Genomic DNA, 19,022 nt, shown 5'->3' with positions numbered 1-19,022 from the left:
CCTAGAAATCCAGGGAAATGGTGAACTGACTGGGTCAGGGACAGAACCTTCTAGAGCTCACTTGGGCTTCAGCCGTCGTCTCCCTCTGCCTGCTCTTTTCCTGACAGTGCTGTGTCTTTAACCCAGCCTCTTGATCCCTCTATGATCTGGTAAACCATTGTTTCCAATTCTCTTAACAAAAGAGGAATTGTGTCTGGTCCCCACATACCCACTGTGACTATGAGAATAATTGATATTTTACACTCTTCCTCAGAAAAAGTGTTTTATTTTTGCATAGCATTCCTTAATTCTATTTTGGAAGTCCTGTAACATCGTAATTTCATAGTTACTGTATTTTTTAAAGTCCATTCTCTTTGATAAAAGCCACCACAAAATGTAAGAATAAAAAGAAAAAAGCTCAGCCTATTTTTAACAAAAAAAATAATGCATAGAGAAATATGACAAGATCAGAATCTGCCCTGCACTAATGCAGCATGAAAGAAGAGTTTAATAAGCATGAAGAAAATGGTACATTATCTCATTTGGGGGGGAGTAAAGGAAATGAATTAAGGCCACAACAAAACGAAACTGAAAAATTGCTAAATGAAGCACTGAGTGGGGAAAATGAAAAATCAATGAAGGAATGGAGGGAAAAAGGTACATTTTTCATCTTCATGATGCTTGATTGGGTTTGTGGAAATTCATTTTCAATTAATGTGTCTTGTGGCATTCAGCCAGGCTAGATATGAACATGGCACATATTTTAATCAATTTTTTCCTATTAAGTTTGAAGTAATATATAATAATAGAACTATACCATTCAAAAGGATCGGTTGCAACGGGGTTCTGAGGTAAAATAATGTAATTTGGTTTGATTTCTATCTTATATTAAAGATAACCCAACTTCTCCAGAAGGAGAGGAGGAGCACTCTGGCTCCCCCGGGTACCTAAACATGACTTGGCTGTACAAATGTCAGGGAAGGACGGTTAAACTGCTTCCCAATCTGAGCACATTCTCTGAGAAGGAAGAAAGGAGGAGCATGCAAGCTACCAGGAACTTTGCTGGCTTAGCTCACGATTCTCAGAAACAACCCTATGTGGTTATCCCCACCAGACCATGAAACTGAGGTGCCAAGACTTTCATCATTCATTCACTCCCTTCACAATCATCTGGATGCTGATAGGGCTGATATTACGACCCAAGTAAGCATCTGTGAGGGCAAGGCCCAGGCTGTCCTATTCACACCACACCCTGTTCAGAGGTTTGCTTGCTTCCATCCTCCCAGTGATGACAACCTATGGCTGCAAAGCTGGCCTGGAGAGTTGGCAGGGCTGGGAGGAAGGTTGACATGTGATATCTTCTGTCACAAAGGATCTGCTGGGGCCCTAATTCTTTAGGCTGTCCTTTTTTTCCCTCTATGATTCAAGAGGAGGCAGATGGAATGGAGATGGGGATGAAGCTTATTTACCCCTGTGCTTTTCTCGATGAATTCAGTTTCAGAGACAAAACACCAAATCCTGAACAGGAGTGTCCAAGGGAGTGAACTGCTTCAAATTCATGTAATACATATATATGGAAGCCCCTAGCTCCACATCTGGCACAAAGCTGATGCTAAAAAATTGCATTTTGGAAGCGCTTCCTAAAGTTCAAGTGCATGGAAAGTAAACACTCTCTAGCACTAGCCAGGGCTCTCCTTGGAGCCTTCTTGCTGTCCTCCGTGCTCCTCTCCCCTCCTATTCACCCAGCACCCACTGGCCAGAGCCACCACTCTGGAGCTCATATCTGATCAGGCAATGGGGAGCCATTGAGGAATTATGAGCAGAGTGATGAAGGACATCCTTCTTGGCTTGGTGCTAATAAACCATCACAATTGGTGTCAACCTATATTTCTAGCCTCTTCATTTCTCACTCCCTCGTACCATCCAAACTAGATGAATGCTCTGTGAACTCACCCTATACTTTCTGGTCTGCATGTTTTTGCTTTTATTTATTCTATATCTTGTCTGACATGTCCACCCATTCAATCCCTGCCTAGAAAAATCCAACCCATCCTACAAGGCCTGGTCAAACACTACCTCCTCCCTAAAGACTCTCCACCCACATCAGAATTAGTTTGTCCTGGCAGGAACTATGCTAAGCATTTAGCACACATCACATCAGTCAATCCTCATAACTACCACTTGAGGAGGTAATGTTATGACCATTCCCATATTATTGATAAGGAAACTGAATCTTGGATAATTTGCTCAAGATACAAAGCCTAGTCAGTAGCAGAGGCAGGATGCAAAAGCAGACTGAATTTACTCAAAGCCTATGAACTTAACCACTAAGTTTCCCAGCTTCTGTGTTTCCAGCACCTATGACATTCTGCCTCAAGTTCAAATGAGTTTAAATGTCAGCCAGAAGGTCCTCTGAGAGCAGGAACTCATGTCCATTTTTGCACTCATGCTCATAAGAGGCTCTTCTTAAACGTGTACCAACTGTCCCATAAGCTCCCCATAAATTGTACCTGGCTCCTCCTCATCCTTATTCCCACTCTTAAGCCCAAGGAATGAGTTTCCTTCAGTCTTCAGCAGAGGGGCAGGAAAACAGGATTGTTCAAAGACAATGGCACAGGGGAAACAACTCCAGCTTGACGAAAGCGACGTGAAAAAAATCAGTACGGCAATGCTATTAGAGAAACAAGCTTTCCGTGAGCCAAAAATAAAAGGAGTCCTATTCATATGATACACAAAAATAAATTCTACATGGATCATTATTTGTCCAACAAATATTTATTGAGCAACTATCATTTGCCAGTGACTATCCCAGGTGTTAGAGATACAACCACAAACAAAATAGATGCAAGTCCCTGCCCTCATGGGACTTACATTCTAGTGGAAGGAAACAGGTAACAGACAAAATATATATGCAAAACAGATAAATAAAGTGCATGACATATTATTGGATGATAAGTGCTATGGAGAAAAACAGAGTAAGAAAGAGGATAGAGGGGATGGATGTGCAGGTTGTAATTGAAGACCTAAAGATGAACAATCAAACTGCAAAACTATTACAGAAACTATCTTTACATCAAACAAGACACACAACACAGCCAAAAAGATTAACTTTACTTCTGCCAACATTAAAAACTTATATATTATAAAAGATATCACAAACAAAAAACATTGACTAGGAGAAGATAATGGCACCCAAATAGTTTTCGATAAATGATTAATATTGATAAGATGTAGAGTTCCTACAAGTCAGCTGGAAAAAAGAAAAACAATCTAATATAAAAATGAGCAAATGACATGAACAACCATTTCATAAAGGAGGAAACTTGAATGGCCAATAAGCTTAAGAAAAGTTTCTCAACCTCACAAGTTTCAATGAGTAATCAGGCTGACGCAAATTAAGATGAAAACAATGAGATGCCATTTCCTAACTGGCCAAAATTATAGTCCACACAGTGCCAAGTGGTGATGAGCATTTGGAAAATCTGCCCTCTCACATGTGACTGGTGGAAAGGTATGTGCACTGTGGGCAGCGATTGGGCAATATCTAGAAAAGGTGAAATTATGCCAATCCCATGCCCTAGCAATTCCTCCTTTACGTATACTTCCTAGTTAGAGAAGCCTGGAGACATGTTGGTATTGTTTGTAAAAGAATAAAAATGTCTATCAATAGGATAAATAAGTTACAATATATTCAAATAAAAGGATATTAGCCATTGAAATGAATAATCCAGATCTATGTGGAATAACAGCAGAAACAAAACTGAGAAATAAGTTGCAAAATATGTACAATACAATTTATTTTTAATATTATAAATTAAAATTTACGTAAAATTTAAAACACAAACTAAGCCACATACTAATTTTATATATATATATACACAGTAAAATCATCAAGGCATGGCCTAGAGACCAAACTGCCTCTGAGAAGAAGAGAGGGTGAAAGAAGGAAAAGGAACAGAATCAGGGACAGGTAAAAAGAGAACCTCTTCTTTATCTGTGATGTGTTCTTTTCTTTAAAAAAAAAAAAAAAAACAGAAACAAGTGTGCCAAAATGGCAACATTTGTTAATCCTAGAAGAGCATTCGTGGATTTTTGTTTTTATCACTCTACAACTTTTTGCAATTTAAATTTTTTTCCAATTAAAAGTAACAAGAAGAAAAGAACAAAGGCTGACTTTGGAGTCACAGATCTGGGTCTGTAGTGCAGCACCATCATTATTTGCTGAGAGACTGCCAGCTACTTATTTTTTAAGACTCTAAGCCTCAGTTTCCCATGCTTAAAAAACTGGGCGAATAATACCTTCCAGAGATGATTGACATGGGAATGTGACATCCATATGCATAGCCTTGGAATGAGAGAAGCATTCGTGACTGGTAGTGACCCAAAACATGAATTACTCAGCCTCACATAGTTTCTATGGCCAGAAACTGGGCACCAGGTGTCTGAGAAACAGTTCAAAGTCAATTAGAACAATTTCAATAAAGAGAACATAGATTCAATGACATTTCCAAAGAAAATATCCTTTCCCTTGAAAAGACAATTTATATTGTGAATACCGAAACCAATACCTGTCATAGAATGAACCTGCTTTTTTAAATAATACATATAACACATACAGAAAAAAGGCTGCCACAATTGTGCTGATACCTTCTAAAAATTGACATTTTAGATAAATTGTCTAAGATTTTAAAATAAATAAGGAATAATACCATGCTAAACACTAGAATTAGAAACTATAACATTGTCATTCACAATAAATCACTCCTGCCTCAAACTTTTGAGTAGCACCTCCTTTGGGTGGGGCTTGAGTGGCCACGAGACAGAGCTGTAGCCTTGGAGTCCAAGGCTAAGGATCCAGTTAAGGGAGGAAAGCGGTGGCGGGGCAGGATTTCAGCACATGACTCAGGTTTCACAAGCAGTATAAGTCAAGTTCACACCATATCACAGTACAGGCAGGAAAGAGGTGAATTGAGGGGCATCAGCAAAGGCAGACAAGAGCAGGCTGAGGTAGGTCCTGCAATGCAAGGAACCCAGATCTAAGAAGATCAACAATGAGCCTAGGACCCAGGGCCAGGGCCAAGTGCAGGAGGTGTGGAGGGCATCCACTTAGGAGGCACTCTCAGGCTATGCAGTACTCTAGGAACCTCACTCACTATCTGCTCCAGAATAAGGCCTGCCTGGCCTCCAGGTACGGTTCATAGCCCAAAAGAGAAAAGAAACTCTAAAAGCAGAAGAAAGCACACCACCCTGAAAGCAGGACTTACATGGGTGACCTGTTTTCTCTAAAGGTCATTGCATTCTCTTAATTATTTCCTTTTTTAAAACTTGGCAATGAATCAATGCTGCTAGAACAAATGCCAGTGACTTTTCCACCAGAGACTTAGAAAAACATTACAGCAATAAAGGCGTCCCTAAAAAACAGTGTAGGTAACAACACTAAGCTAACATCCAGATGAGATTCTCAAATCTGCCTCTGTCTCCCTAGTGGAAGTCTGAATACCCAGCATCGTATCTGGGGATCTGTGTCTAAACACAGCACCGTGCACAGGTGAACAATATTAATGGTTAATAACTAATGCGGAAAAGTATTCATCTGCTTCTTTCCCATCCCCTCCCTCCTTGCTTAAGCTGGGTAGAAGCATCTAAATGAAAGCAAAGGCAAATATTAGCAAGAAAGCAGCTTCATGCCTGCTTTGCCATGAAGGAGTGATAGGAGTGGAGAACTAGCCAACGTCTGAGGGACACTGGGCCTCTGAACGCACTCACTCCACGAGCCCCATCTCCCAGCTTATGTAGACTCATGCCACCCATTGCTATGACTGCAGCTACTACTGCTAGTTCTCAGCAAAACTGCCATGTTCTGATAAAACACCAATGCCTGCAGCAATCTCAAGAAAGACCTCTATAAAAATAAAACATACATGAAGGATGTTTCAGTTCAACATATTTCAGCCAGATAGATTTCTCTTTATCAGATACACTCCTTTTCGTGAAGTTGGTTGAACCAATTCAGGCAAAATGCTGATGGTGATAGAAGCAAGCTAAACTCCTCTTAGAAGAGTCCTAAGATGAGTATTGATATCCATTCAGGAAGGACACCTTCAGGGCCACCTCCCATATACAAATAGAACCAAACCACATGGATACCTGGCTGCTCCTGTACTTTCTTGGGGGTGATCTGGTGGGAGCACCTCCTTCCCAGAGCACTAACATTCTTCAAGCTCTCTTCCCATCTCCTTAGCAGATGTCTTTGGCAGCTTTTCCATAAGTAAGGATTCATCTTCCAAGCCTCCACCTGGATCTTTCTGAATGGTTTTTCAGTAGCCTTTTTCATTGCAGTTCCTTCTTCAATGTCTACTCAAGTTCCTAAAAATACTCTGTGGATCTGTGAGTTCTCTTGACTCTGCAGTTTGAGGCTGTACAAGTCAGGGTGACAGTATGTGGGTGTTTTCACAAACAAGAGCCCCACATGGTCAAATTTTCCTTTAAATAATATGTCCTTCCTGTTTTGTTCATTGGCTCATCATAGATAAATACCACCTCTTCCCAGCAGAGAGTGTACAAGTGTTCTTCTAATCACGAACAATAAAGGAATCGCTTCCAACCCAGAGCAGGCTACCAACTTATCATCTTCCAAAGAGCCGGAGACTAAATCTGGAGAAGAGCTCGTGCGACATGATCTGGAGACAGTTCAATTGAGTGGATTAGGTTTGTGGGCTTGGTGCTATGGCTCCTTTCCCCTACCCCCATTTGGCTAATTACCAATTATGAGAAGTACTTGAAATCCTCTAAACACAGGGCATTTAGTAAAATGTACTTTCGTGTGTTGCACATTTCAGCACACCACACAACAGTTTTGAATTAAATTGTGTGCCAGCAAATGACTGAACCATGTAAAAATGGCAGATACTTGCGATGAAGCAAATTTAAATCTTAAAAATCGCTTTTTGTATAAATATTCTTGTGAAGAGATTGATGGCTAAGCTAGAAAACAGCACAGAGCACAAAAGAGAAGAGAGAAGTATACCCAAAGATTGAATGTGGCCAACAAGACTCCCAAAGGGAAAGATAAAGGGCAGCCCCGTGCATTGCTCAGGAAATCAACAATAGCTACTTTTGCTTTTAGTTCACTTAACTTTAGGTATACACAGCCGAACCCATTTACAGGTGGTAATAATAACAGCCACTAATATTTATTATTTCTTATGATCCAATTAACATGCTGTGCATTTTATACATGTCATCTCATTTAACTCTTACAAAAAATTGGGTAGATACTATTATTAACCCTATTTTATAGACAAGGAAACTAATAACTTTTCAAAGGCAGGTTTGTCTGATGCTAAAGTCCATACTTGTTGCTATTTTTCTAGGCCATCTTTTGTTGTAGACACATAAAGGTCTCTAACTGCAGATGCATGTGGATTTAGGGACTAGTAATGTAAAGCCTTGTTTGGCCAACTGGCTAGAGAGCCAGATACTCAAAGTCTCAACTCTCTGAAGAGTTCTTACTCATCTGTTATTCTCCCTGATCCAGTTTGTTTCCCCCAAGGAACTGCTGCATTATGACTACAGCATCACTCTTTAAAAAAAATCTAAGAGATGACCGTTAAATACTTTCAAAATCATTCCTTAGGAATCACAAATAATATTCTGCTTTGCCTTGAATTTGAGAAGTGGTCATTGCTAATATAATTATTTAACCAAGATGTTTTTGCCTTCTCTTTCTAAAGGGGTACCATGTGGCCAAGTGTAACGTCTTCTGTACAGACAGAAGTGAATAATTTAAAGCAGGGCGAGGCAGACACGTGCATACATGCACAGTTGGAAGAGGATCCATGAGAATCACCCTTAGTCTCTCTTAGTGGTAGTCCAGCTTTCAAGGACTTAGGTGGATTGGATTCTGTCCCTTTAAGTTTCTATTATCTATTTAACAAGCGTACCTCTTCCCACCTTAGTAACATCTCTCTAGATGGGTCTAAATAGCCTTTGGGAAGTTTGTATTATCTGGATACCACCAGGCCAGTACAGCTATTAAGATTAGGCTGTCAGGCCAGGTGTAGTGGCTCACGCCTGTAATCCCAACACTCTGAGAGGCCAAGATGGGAAGATTGCTAGAGGCCAGGAGTTGGAAGACCAGCTGAACAACATAGTGAAACCCTGTCTCTATAAAAAATAATAATAATAATAACAGTAATACAAAAATTAGCTGGGCATGGGTGCACGTGCCTATAGTCGATCTACTTGGGAGGTTGAGTGGGGAGGATCACTTGAGCCCAGGAGTTGGAGGCTGCAGGAAGGTATGATTGCACCACTGCACTCCAGCCTGAGCAACAGGGCAAGACTTTGTCTCTAAAACAAAATAAAAAATAAAAAAAGAGTGAGCTGTCACAGAATCCTCCCAGGACCAGGGGCTGGCAAGAAGTGAAGGTCCCCTGACAGTGCCCAGAGAGTCACAGACTTGGACCAGCTTTCTCACTTCTGTGCTCCTGGTCCCTGGTGACTGTCTCCCTGGCTTGCTTTCTGTTGAGCCCTTCCTATTGAGTTCACCAGCAGCTTCCCACCTCAGGCATAGGAGCTTCTGAGGGATGCTGGCCAAATGCATGAACATGAAACCCAGCAAGGAGAGTCAGGCCACCGCTCTGAGAATCCGGGACAGCGATTCTCAATCCTGGCTGTATATTAGAATCACTTGCAGAGTTTTTAAAACGAAACAAAACCCAATGCTCAGTCTGCCTCCATCCCATCTGCCAGGTTCAGGCATGTCTTAAAGCTCCCCAGGTGATTCCAATGTGTAGCTTGGGTGGAGAAGCACTAATGAGAAAATCAATTCCTTGCACCTTTGCACTTATTAAACATCTCAATTATAGCAAAGTGGGGTAGAGTGTAATTGCTTTCAGCAAAAGAAGTCTAAAGAAAATGCCTCCTCTGCAAATGAAAAGAAACTCCCTTCAGACCCTGTTGGAAGAAACATTTCCTATATCACAAATGGCAAAGGGAAATCAAAAGAAAGACATGACAAAATGAAAGGATGCCTAATGGCTGCACTGGGATATAGCTTAAAAAAAAAAAAAACAAAAAAAAAACCTCTTAAGAAATTACTGTTTATTCAGCTAAACAATATCCCTGCCCATTGGCAAAAATGTAAACCCACCCTCTTGGAAGGCAAATAGTTGATTTTTTCCTTAAGATCACTTTCCCCTTGGCAGGAGAGCTGCTTTGGTTGGCAGCAGGAGAGCCATGGTGAGAGCAGGTAAAGAGGGTGTGAATGACTCTGTGGACTGAAGAAGTCACACTCAAAGATGTGTGAGCAGAGGGGCACTGTGGGGGCCTCAGGATGCTCTCTTACTTTTTACACTCCTCCCAGCTCTCCCAGTGCCTTTCCTGGCAATCTAAAGAATGCAGCTTGATTCAGGACCAAAGACCAATCCCAACAAAGCTTTTCAACAGGATAATAAAACCCAAAGGCAAGACTACCCTGGAACTCGGGTGACACCAGTGGGTAAGATCCGTGCCAGCACGGCCCATGTCTGCTTGACTCCCCACTGTGTACCCAGCCCCAGCACGGAGCGGGTGCTGGTGGGTATCTGCTGAATGGATGAATGAATTAATTTCCCCTTGAGGGCTTTTTCTTTCCAATCCCTCGGCATTTTTCTATATTTTCCGGCTATAAGAGGCACACGTGGGGCTTTTTTGGCTTTGTTCTCTCATTTTTATCAAAGCCAGAATCAGCTGGAAGAACTAGTGATGGGGGAGATACCCAACCCCCTGACATCCATGACAGGAGACTTAATTCAGTAGAAAGCCCTAGCCTAGTGAGAGGGACTTGGTTCCACATTTCACAGAAAACGTTTTGCATTATCTTTTCTCAATGACCTTGACACCGTAAGATATATACTAATCCTTCATTTCAAAAGGGCTCACCCCCACCATGAGCCCTTCCTACATAGTACAAGTCCTACTGTCTCCCACCATGGAAATCAAGTCATTAATGAGCTAAGGATGACAAAACCTGGGCCAGTTACTTTTTATTATTTATTATTACTATGATAAAATGATACTCCACTAAGGTGAGAAGAAACATGTTGCTTAACATTTAAGGATTCCCAAGGATCGCAGTAGTGACACCTGGACATTTTGAGCTAAACAAAAGAAGCCCATCATTTAAAAAAACTAAGTTTCCTCATGGACATTATGGCCAAAATGATACCAACAATGGATGGAGACGAGACTTCCATCCATGGTGAAAGTGAGGCTATGATGAAGACGAGCTTCCAGACCCATGTGAGGGAAGAAAAAGGGTCCTTAACATCCGCTACACTTAAAGGCTGCCTATATGCCTGGGGAGCCGGAGTTCACAGATGAAAACATACTTCTCTTCTAGAGTCAGAGTTCAAGATTCATTTCACAAGTGACCAATTCAGTACTCCGGATTTTTCAAAATTTGCTCCAAGTGATCTGAAGTGATTTAGTTACGACTTTGCTGATTTTGCTCATTATGCAACATAATGATAAGGCTGAGCTCACAAAAACAGGCACAGCATAGTAAACAATAGAGAATTCTTTATATGATGAACACTTAACTGAAGTTACCAGACTTCCTCCACACAGTCTTTAAGGTTACAGAACACAGAATTTGTGGAGGAACACTAGAGAACTTCTAAATCAACTTCTTACTTTGTAAAGAACGTAACCATGATGAAGAGCTAAATGCCTTACCAGTGCAGCCAGTATTAGAAATGTTTTCTTTGTTGTGAATGAAGAGCTGCAATTTGCCTCTTTGAAAGTGTCACCCAGTGGTTCTGGCCTGGCCTTGCTTCACAATACAAAACAAAGACATATTCCCTCATGTTTTCTAAGATGTGAATTCAGCTCCCATCTCTCCTTGGGCATGTCTTCCCCAGTTCCCTGAATTACTCAGGTTCTCAACTCCTTTCCAACCTGGTCTTGCTCTTCTGAAGGTGCTCACCTGTCCATGCCCCTTGACCATGTTTCTAACTTTTAAAAAAAATATTCACATAAATGGCTATAGCAAATGAGATTCTAGGCTATCCTTTTTTTCTTATGTAAGTTAATGTAGTATGCTGGGCAAACACAAACTTTCTAAATCAGGCAGTAAAAATTATTAGGAATAAAAAGTGTCTCTCTCTCTTTTTGTTGCTGGTGGTGGTGGTGGTCTACATTCACTGTGGAAACCCAGCCAGCCCCTAGGGGGTGCTAACTCTGATGGCATCCTAAATTTTAGCTGGTGATTTCTTTCCAACGACTGGGCCTTCCAGACCACAGACCACATCAAAGCTTAGAGAAGCTTATCTGGAAGATATGAAATCACAGGTAGAAAAAAGCAAAGCATGGACAGTGATCTTTATATGCATCCCTACACACACACATATACATATGTATACACATGTATAAATACACATATACATATGCACATATGTATATGTGTGTACGTATGTGTACTCCTTCACTCTCTTCAAATTGGTAGGTTTGTTATATTCTGGAAGTAAGTTAGGAAACAGAGAATTCTAAACTTCTTTGAAAATGTCTTTTAAAAAAACAATGTCTCTGATTCTGGTACAGCCTTAACCTCTTACAGGTAAGGGTTTAAGTGAATCAGAAGCCAACCAGTATGAGGTTTTGTTCAATAGTTCTCTAACGATTAGATACAAGAATGACACAGACACCCCCCTGTGGTGAGGTGGGAGAAATGTAGTGCTCACAGTTAGAGACTCGCATAGGGGAAAATAAGGGATGCCCTTGCCCCAGACTTCGTGCGTGTGAAATTCAAAAGCAGAAAAACTATGCCCCGACGGCCAAGGCTCACTGAGATGCTAACTGTGGCAAAGTGATGCTTTTCCTTGGAAAATACACTCCTGACATCTACCTAGTGTTGACGATAGGGCAGGATCTCCCTCCGCATTACTGTTATGGGCAGTGCTCCTGCCTGGATGCACAAAACGATTGCAAAGATGCGTGCGTGGCCTCCTCTGCTATTCCACTGCTCCCCAGAAACTTGTGTGTGAACCAATATAAGATGTACATGATTCAACACAGTATAACTGCACTTCTCATTTGCGGACAAACTTTTATCTAATGTGTATGTTTATCCTACACACAATAAAAAAAGATGTCCCTTCCCATACTCACAATTCTCTGACCTTAACTCCCCAACATTAATATCCCCAATATCTTAGAGATTAATAAAATAGATATATTTTAATCTTCCATTTGTCTGTCATGTACATGAATTATTTCTTAGAAGTAGATATGCTTTTAATTTTAATAATTCATTAATAAAACATAACTTTTTAAAGTAGTACTTAATATAAGGAAAATGTGTTTTCATTTTTCCACTGCCAACCAAATGTTTGATTAAATTGAAACCTTTTTTTTTCTTTGCAGGTTAGAGAATTAGACTCAAGGGAATTCTTATAACCCTGTTAGTACTAACTGCTCTTTTTCTATCAGATTTTTCAATCGGATTTTTTAATTGAGCAAGAAGAAAACTACAATAATATGTGATTAGCTTTACAGAGCACGGACTTTCTTCTTTGGAACATCACCACAAGAGAGGCGGATTATATTGACACAAGTTAAAACAAATTTTGTTCCTCTTAGAGAAATAGAAATGTTCAACTTACCCGTTTTCTCATTTAGAAAAAAGAGAATAGTAAACTATGCCCAAACAGTAAATGTATAGCTTGGTTTCCTGTTACAGAGACAGTTAGGAGAGAAAGGATGGTGGCAAAGGAAAAGGAAGAAGAAGCAGGAGTGGGAGAAGAGAACGAGGAAGGAGGGAGAAAAAAGAGAGAAACAGACAAGGAAAGGGAATGAAAGACACACCCAGAAAACGATAAAGGACAAGAATGGTAGCTGAGAGAGAGAGAGAGAGACAGACAGACGGCTGTGGAGGCAGTGCAGGGACCTGGGCTAAATTCACCCTGCCCATCACCCCCTTGGGTCCCCTGAGCTGTGGGTACCCACTCAGGCTATCACTGTCCTTTCACAGTGGGTGAGCTTATGAACTGCACTTTCCAGCTTTCTTAACTGTAACCCTTTGACCTGAGGAAACCCCTCTTTTAGGGGCATCATCGTCATCAGTCCATGGGGGACATGTGGGGAAATCCCACTCTGGGCCTAGATGGCAGTGGCCTGAGCACCTCGGCTTGTGAGCCACAGGAAATGGAGGGGCAAGGCAGACTTGTTCTGGGGATGCTTCCCCACCACAGGAAGCAATCCCAGGCCTGTGACCTTTTGCAGATGCTTACCTCCTCGACCATCTGCTTGACTTTCTTCTGCTGGCAATGCACCATGTCATCTAGGTGTCTGATCCGCTCACGGAGGCTGGCTGATGCCTCCTCCAACTGCTGATACCTAACACAAATAGGAGAAAAAAGCAAATGAGTCCTAAACCAAAGCAGCAACAGCAGTAGCAACAGTCACAGCTTTAAAGAATATTGCCAAGAGCGCCAAGCATGGCGGCTCATGCCTGTAATCCCAACACTTCAAGAGGCCAAGGCAGGAGGACTGCTTGAGGCCAGGAGTTTGAGACCAGCCTGGGCAATATGCTGAGACCCTCATCTCCACAAAAAAAAAAAATAAATAAATAAAAATAGAAAACATGTATCTTTTGGGGAAGGTTTGGTAAAAAAATAAACGTAAATTTAAAAACATTTAAAAATGCTTCCAAGAACAAGAAATCAAACTCTAAGATCCATTCTTCTTACTTTATGTGATGACCACACAAAGTAGTGTGATTACTAACAAACTACCACAACAGAGGAGCACAGGACTATTTTTCAAGTTCCCATTTGCAAGTTTTATCCCATATAAGGATGATTATTTTCCAGGGGCTGAGAGATAATTTTTTTGCACCATTTACAGATCTGAGAAGCTCTCTGTTTTGGGGTTATTAACATATTGGAACATCCAGTAAATTACTTGGAGGGGAGGACGGGGAAGAAGGGGTCCAGCAACACAATAAAATATCTGAAATCAACGGCAGAATACCAAAAGGTCTGGAATCACAGTTGCTCTACATATCCTTTATTTTTGGCAAATGTGGGACAAGTTGAAAGACCTTCTCTACATCCAAACAGAGCAAGCCACATCACAAAACATTTCATACTTTTGTTTTACAACAGCACAATTTATTCTCCAACATTGCTTGGACTCTTCAGTTCTCTGGGGCCGCTGGGGCTGGGCACTGGAGGAAAGGTCTGGTGGTCTAGTTCCCGTGCCCCATCTCTGCCTCAGCACTATGTTAATGACTAGCAAGCCTCCTGTAACTTTGAAAACTCTGAAATTGCAAATGAGGAAGGAAAAATGGGTATTTTTTCAGCACGTACTATTTGGCAGGCAGCAAGCCCAATAGTTCTCTTAACAACAGTAACCTAGTGAGATGGGCACTGTTATCACCGTCATACCCGTCTCCCCCGTTTAAAGATGAATTTCCATGTGGCACAAGCAAGACTCAGGGAGGTTAAGTCACTTGCCCAAAACACTCAAATCATCTCAACCTTGTTTTCCTTCACTAGAGACCCCTGAATGGCCTCTCTGCATTTTGATTTCTAGAACAGACAGCGTACTATTCCGTGTTTTTCATGTAGGGCTTTATATACTCACTGCCAGAGGATAATGCAAGGTTTTACTAAGCAAAGTTTGGAAACAAAGAAAGATGTTTTAAATTGGTTTCCAAAGCAAGTGGTATTAGTCACAGCTGATGAGTTTTCTCATCAACAAGGTGTATCCTGTGGAGTTCAAGGCCATGGAGAACATTAATAGACCAAACTTTTGCACTTGTGAAAGTATTTGATGTGTTCCACTACACTAACAACCAGCCATGATCTGCAGGATGTGGCTGGAGGCTTCCAAAGAAACTTGTTCCATATTGGAAACTCTCAGCCCAATGTTATGTATGCTTAAGTCTGTAATAAGGTACAACCACACAAATGAAAATGTAAGGGTCAAATGAGGTCATAAAAACACAGCGTGTCCACAACCTAAATCCATTACAAGACGAAAGGCATTACGTCTTACCTTTCCTTGTCAGAATCAGTTAACTCCCCAGACATTTCTGTTTCATGTTCTAGGAGTTGAAGTTGCAGTTGATGACGTTCCTAAAACAAACAGAAACTGATATTTTAATCAATGGATCCCAAGTTTGACAGAGAATGTCTATTTAGCAATTCTAGCACTAGGGAGTCCAAGTCTATATGACACCCCCTGGGTTTTACACACCTGCTCAGCAAAGCCCAAACAAGGCTCAAAACTGCCAAGTCTGTTGTTGTGTATTTATAGATATATTTATGGGTCAGAGACAAAACATCCTAAATAAAACCATTCAAGATTCATTTTCCAAAGTATTCCATCAGCCCAGGATCAGTGAAAATTTATAGCCCCAAATACTGATTATCAATACTTTAAACTGGTGGCTTGTGATACTGCAAAATTCTTTATTATTTTCTGAATCATCAAGAAAAGAGGCTCTGGGATTCTGGCAATATCCTATATTCTAACTTGTGGTGTTTACACAGGTGTATTCACTTGTAAAAATATGTTGTGGTCAGATTCATGGCCCTCCAAAGATGTCCATGTCCTGATTCCTGAATCCTATGTGTTATCTTACATGGAGAAAGGAATTCTGCAGATGTGATTAAGTTAAAGATCTTAAAATGGGGAGATCCTGGGTTATCCAGTTGGGCCCTTCTAAGGAGGAGGAGGCAGCAGGGTTAGAATCAGAGAGAAGGAGCCTGGAAGATGCTCTGCTACTGCCTCTGAAGCTGCAGGAGGGGGCCACAAGTTGAGGAGTACAGGTGGCCTCCAGAAGTTAGAGAAGGCAGGGAAATGCATTCCCTTCTAGAGCTTCCAAAAGGAATCCAGCTCTGCCAACACCTGGATTTTAGCACTTCTGACCTCTAGGAATGGAACATAATACATTTGTGTTGTTTTAAGCCACTAACCTTGTGGAAATTTGCTATGGTAGCAATAGGAAACATACGCGCACTAAGCCGTGCACTTTGTACACTTTGCTATATATATGTATATTTAGAAGTTTGCCCAAAAAAGAGTCTGGAATCATTTCTTTGGACAAAGCTGAAAAATGTTCATAAAAACATGGTGCCTGTCATAACCGAAATTGTGCTAAAAATACATTACAGATGTTAGTGTAACAAATTTCCTTAAAATGCAAGTTTATCAAATAACGCTCACTAATTGGGAGATTATTTTACTTTAGGTCCTTCTCTAAGAACTAATGTTCCTCATCTTTATGTTCGGAAATTCCACCCAGCAAACTCTTACTAGCTACATAGATTCCAAACCTCTTTTCTACCAAATTATTAAAAGCAAATCTTTGAAAATTTAACTGCCACAACTTCTGAAGCTATAAGCAGTGGTATACCAAGAGGTAGGCCAAAGGGGTGGGGAAGCAGTCCACCTTAAGCAGGAAGAATATATTATCTCTGAAATATTTAAAATAACAAAGGTAGATCAACTTTGACTGGGGTTTTGTTACTGTTTTTAAATCTCTACAGCAAATGCACATTCTTATGGCCTGGCCTGAGCAGAACATTCCTCCTGCCCCTATGTGGTTGGAAGTTTTACATTAGCCCCGAAATAACAGTGATAAAAGCTTTCACAAGTGAATGCCTCCCTCCAAAAAGAAAAAAAAAACAAAAAACAAGAAAGAAAAAGGCTGTCATAAAGTAGAGCAAGGTCTAACTTACAGCACACTTTTAAAATTTGTTTTAAATTGAGGTACAATAAATCTTAAGTGTACACTGCACAATTATTTCTTACATTTGTAAACACCTGTGAAACCACTGCCCAGATTATGGCATAGACTATTATCTGTTCCCCAGAAGGGTCCCTGGTAGAGAACACTCCTTAAAAGATTTTTACTGATCAGAAAAAAAGGTGTTTGAAATACAGTGCTCAGCAAGAGAAACAGTAAACTAAGGCATATGGCAGAGAAGCCATTCAAAAGCACATGGTTTGTCCTTGAGCAAAATCCAAAACTGAGAGCAGGATACGTACACTGCCACAGCCCTGCCTAGGACATGCCGTTCACGTAGTGTGAGACAGCGATTTGGCCAGATTCCTGCTCTCACAGATTTATCCCTGAAAAGGAAACAGTGTAAATTGGCCTACCTAATGTTAGTTCAATAAATAGAGCATTTCTCTAGCCTAAATGGAAAGGAAGATTTAGAGAAAGGACAATACATTTCCAATCACTAAAGAAGAAGCCAACACCACTTGGGGAAGGTTTTGTGTTTCCTAAATGCTGGCAGGGAGGGCTGGCCTTACCAGCTTCCTGGCTCTACCCATTCATCCCACATGAGGGCTCCATGTGAAAATCAGTGGGGAAAGACAAGAAACTTTCAGAACCTCAAGACAGCAATGAAGATAAGCATAAAATGGGTCGTGCTAAAGACAACCTGACTCTGAGGGTAGACATTTAGGCAACCTCGTAACAGAGTAAAAATCATAGCCACAAATGATCGAACCCTTACTATATACGAGGAACCATGCTTAGCACTTGGCGTGGATTTTTCTCATTTATTGCTCACAAAAGCCCTAAGAATAAGAAGTACCATTATCAGCATTTTACAGAAGTGGAGACTGAGTTAGGAAAAACCAAGTAAGTGCAAACAACTACAAAGAGACACAAGATTCAAATCCCCAGACTGTCTGATTCTAAAGCCTATGTTCATGACCACTACCTGTGGTTTCTCTGTATGACGGCATCTCCCCCAGACCACCCTGCTATGCTGCCGGCTCACCTTGCTTCTTTACGCTGCAGAAAAACCTGCTGCCCAGAGAGAGAGCATCTGAGTTAACTGGGATCTTCTGCTGTTGTAGGAGGACAATAATGTGGGAGGAAGCTCACTCAAGCTCTAGAAAGCTCCCTTGTTGCCCAATCTTCACCACCACCCCCTCTGGTCAATACTAATGTTAGTCCTGACTAAGCCAATCACCTACTCTTCAATAAAAGATGGGATTCTGTTTTCCCAGGGGGTAGAAGGGAGATTGTAATTGACTCTTTAGTTTGCCCAAGTCTCTCCCAAGTAAAAAGCTAAAGAGCTAAAACGAAGCACCCAGTGAGCTCTGAAGCTCCACAGAACTGAATTTCATGCAGTTCCCATAGTGGCGACACCTCGCCTTATGAGGGGACAGTACAGGGGCTTATGCTGCAAACACCATTAGCTAAGGCGACCTCTTCTCAGCATCACATGAAGCCTGACAGTGACCTTGCTCTTGCTGCCCCACCTCTGCCTCCATCATCAGATTGGAGATTCTTGGCATCCCGAATGAGTCACAGGGTGCTAATAATGTCAGGGTCTTGGCAGGTCACTGCTCTCTGCAAACTCATATGCAGCCAGGGAGCCATTCCCAGAAACCAGCCACAGACTTGGCCCTGAACTCCTGGGTCCAGAAGTCAGCCGTCACCTGCTAAAGGTCACCCATCCTTTCTCTTCCTTCTCTTCCTTCTTTTCCTCTTTCCTTTCTCCCACCACTTCCTCCCCTTCCTCCACTTCCTACTTAATTCCTGGCCTCTTCCCTTTCACTAGACAGGCTTCATTATCCCAGCTGAGCTCCCGCCTTCCTCAGGTTCCCCCACCACACTCACCAGCCTGCTTACAACACCTAGAGAAATGGGGCCTCCCTACTCTCTCAAGTCCCCAGCGTGTCAAGGAAAAGCCAACCCTTGAGACACATGCCCCAGAAACAACAGGGCTGCTGTGTTGATGTAACACCTAAATAGGGCTTGATAATTCAATGGATAAACTAAGTTCACACCTGGGGCACCAGCAAAGCAAGGCTGCTAAAATATTAATTTTTCTAAAGAATTTCACAAGTAATATTTTTTAAAAGCATCAAAATAGTTATCATGGGAAAAATGAGAACGTTGTTGGACTTCCTTATACTTTATTTTATAGCTTTGTCTTTTTTTTTTTAATTGCAAATTTTGGAGGTGAGAGGAATCCATATCCAGGGCCTCTCGTATCTCAGATGGACCTACAGGGAAAAGTTTGGGC

At 41.3% G+C, this 19,022-nt stretch overlaps 2 protein-coding genes across 10 annotated transcripts in view, besides 1 other annotated feature; both read right to left on the bottom strand.

Annotated features, from left to right (window-relative positions):
- GCOM1 (GCOM1, MYZAP-POLR2M combined locus) overlaps positions 1-19,022 on the bottom strand; it is a 125,654-nt gene that overhangs the window by 64,762 nt on the left and 41,870 nt on the right. For 7 of the 8 annotated variants that reach the window (NR_104368.2, NR_104369.2, NR_104371.3 and 4 more), the window contains exons 9-10: positions 15,022-15,101; positions 13,251-13,356 (exon numbers count right to left, since the gene is read on the bottom strand). Coding sequence is in view for 3 of the 8 variants with exons in the window: in NM_001285900.3 (NP_001272829.1) it covers positions 13,251-13,356; positions 15,022-15,101 (186 nt within the window). In the remaining 5 variants the exon portion in view is untranslated. Of the gene's footprint in view, positions 1-6,126; positions 6,660-13,250; positions 13,357-15,021; positions 15,102-19,022 lie in introns of all 8 variants that reach the window. The other variant, NR_104367.2, reaches the window with a different exon arrangement.
- Positions 1-19,022, bottom strand: part of MYZAP (myocardial zonula adherens protein) — a 93,461-nt gene that overhangs the window by 32,569 nt on the left and 41,870 nt on the right. For both annotated transcript variants that reach the window (NM_001018100.5, NM_152451.8), the window contains exons 9-10: positions 15,022-15,101; positions 13,251-13,356 (exon numbers count right to left, since the gene is read on the bottom strand). In NM_001018100.5, the coding sequence (NP_001018110.1) occupies positions 13,251-13,356; positions 15,022-15,101 (186 nt within the window). The remainder of the gene's footprint in view (positions 1-13,250; positions 13,357-15,021; positions 15,102-19,022) is intronic.
- Positions 5,125-5,184: a silencer, noted in NCBI's record as "silent region_6474". NCBI's record gives its function as "represses an Ori minimal core promoter by ATAC-STARR-seq in GM12878 lymphoblastoid cells {active_cell/tissue: GM12878}" and the evidence as "EXISTENCE:reporter gene assay evidence [ECO:0000049][PMID:35858748]".

The sequence above is a fragment of the Homo sapiens genome, chromosome 15 (genome assembly GCF_000001405.40).
Source record: "Homo sapiens chromosome 15, GRCh38.p14 Primary Assembly".
Classification (NCBI taxonomy): domain Eukaryota; kingdom Metazoa; phylum Chordata; class Mammalia; order Primates; family Hominidae; genus Homo; species Homo sapiens.
This window is presented reverse-complemented; position numbering and strand designations above follow the sequence as displayed.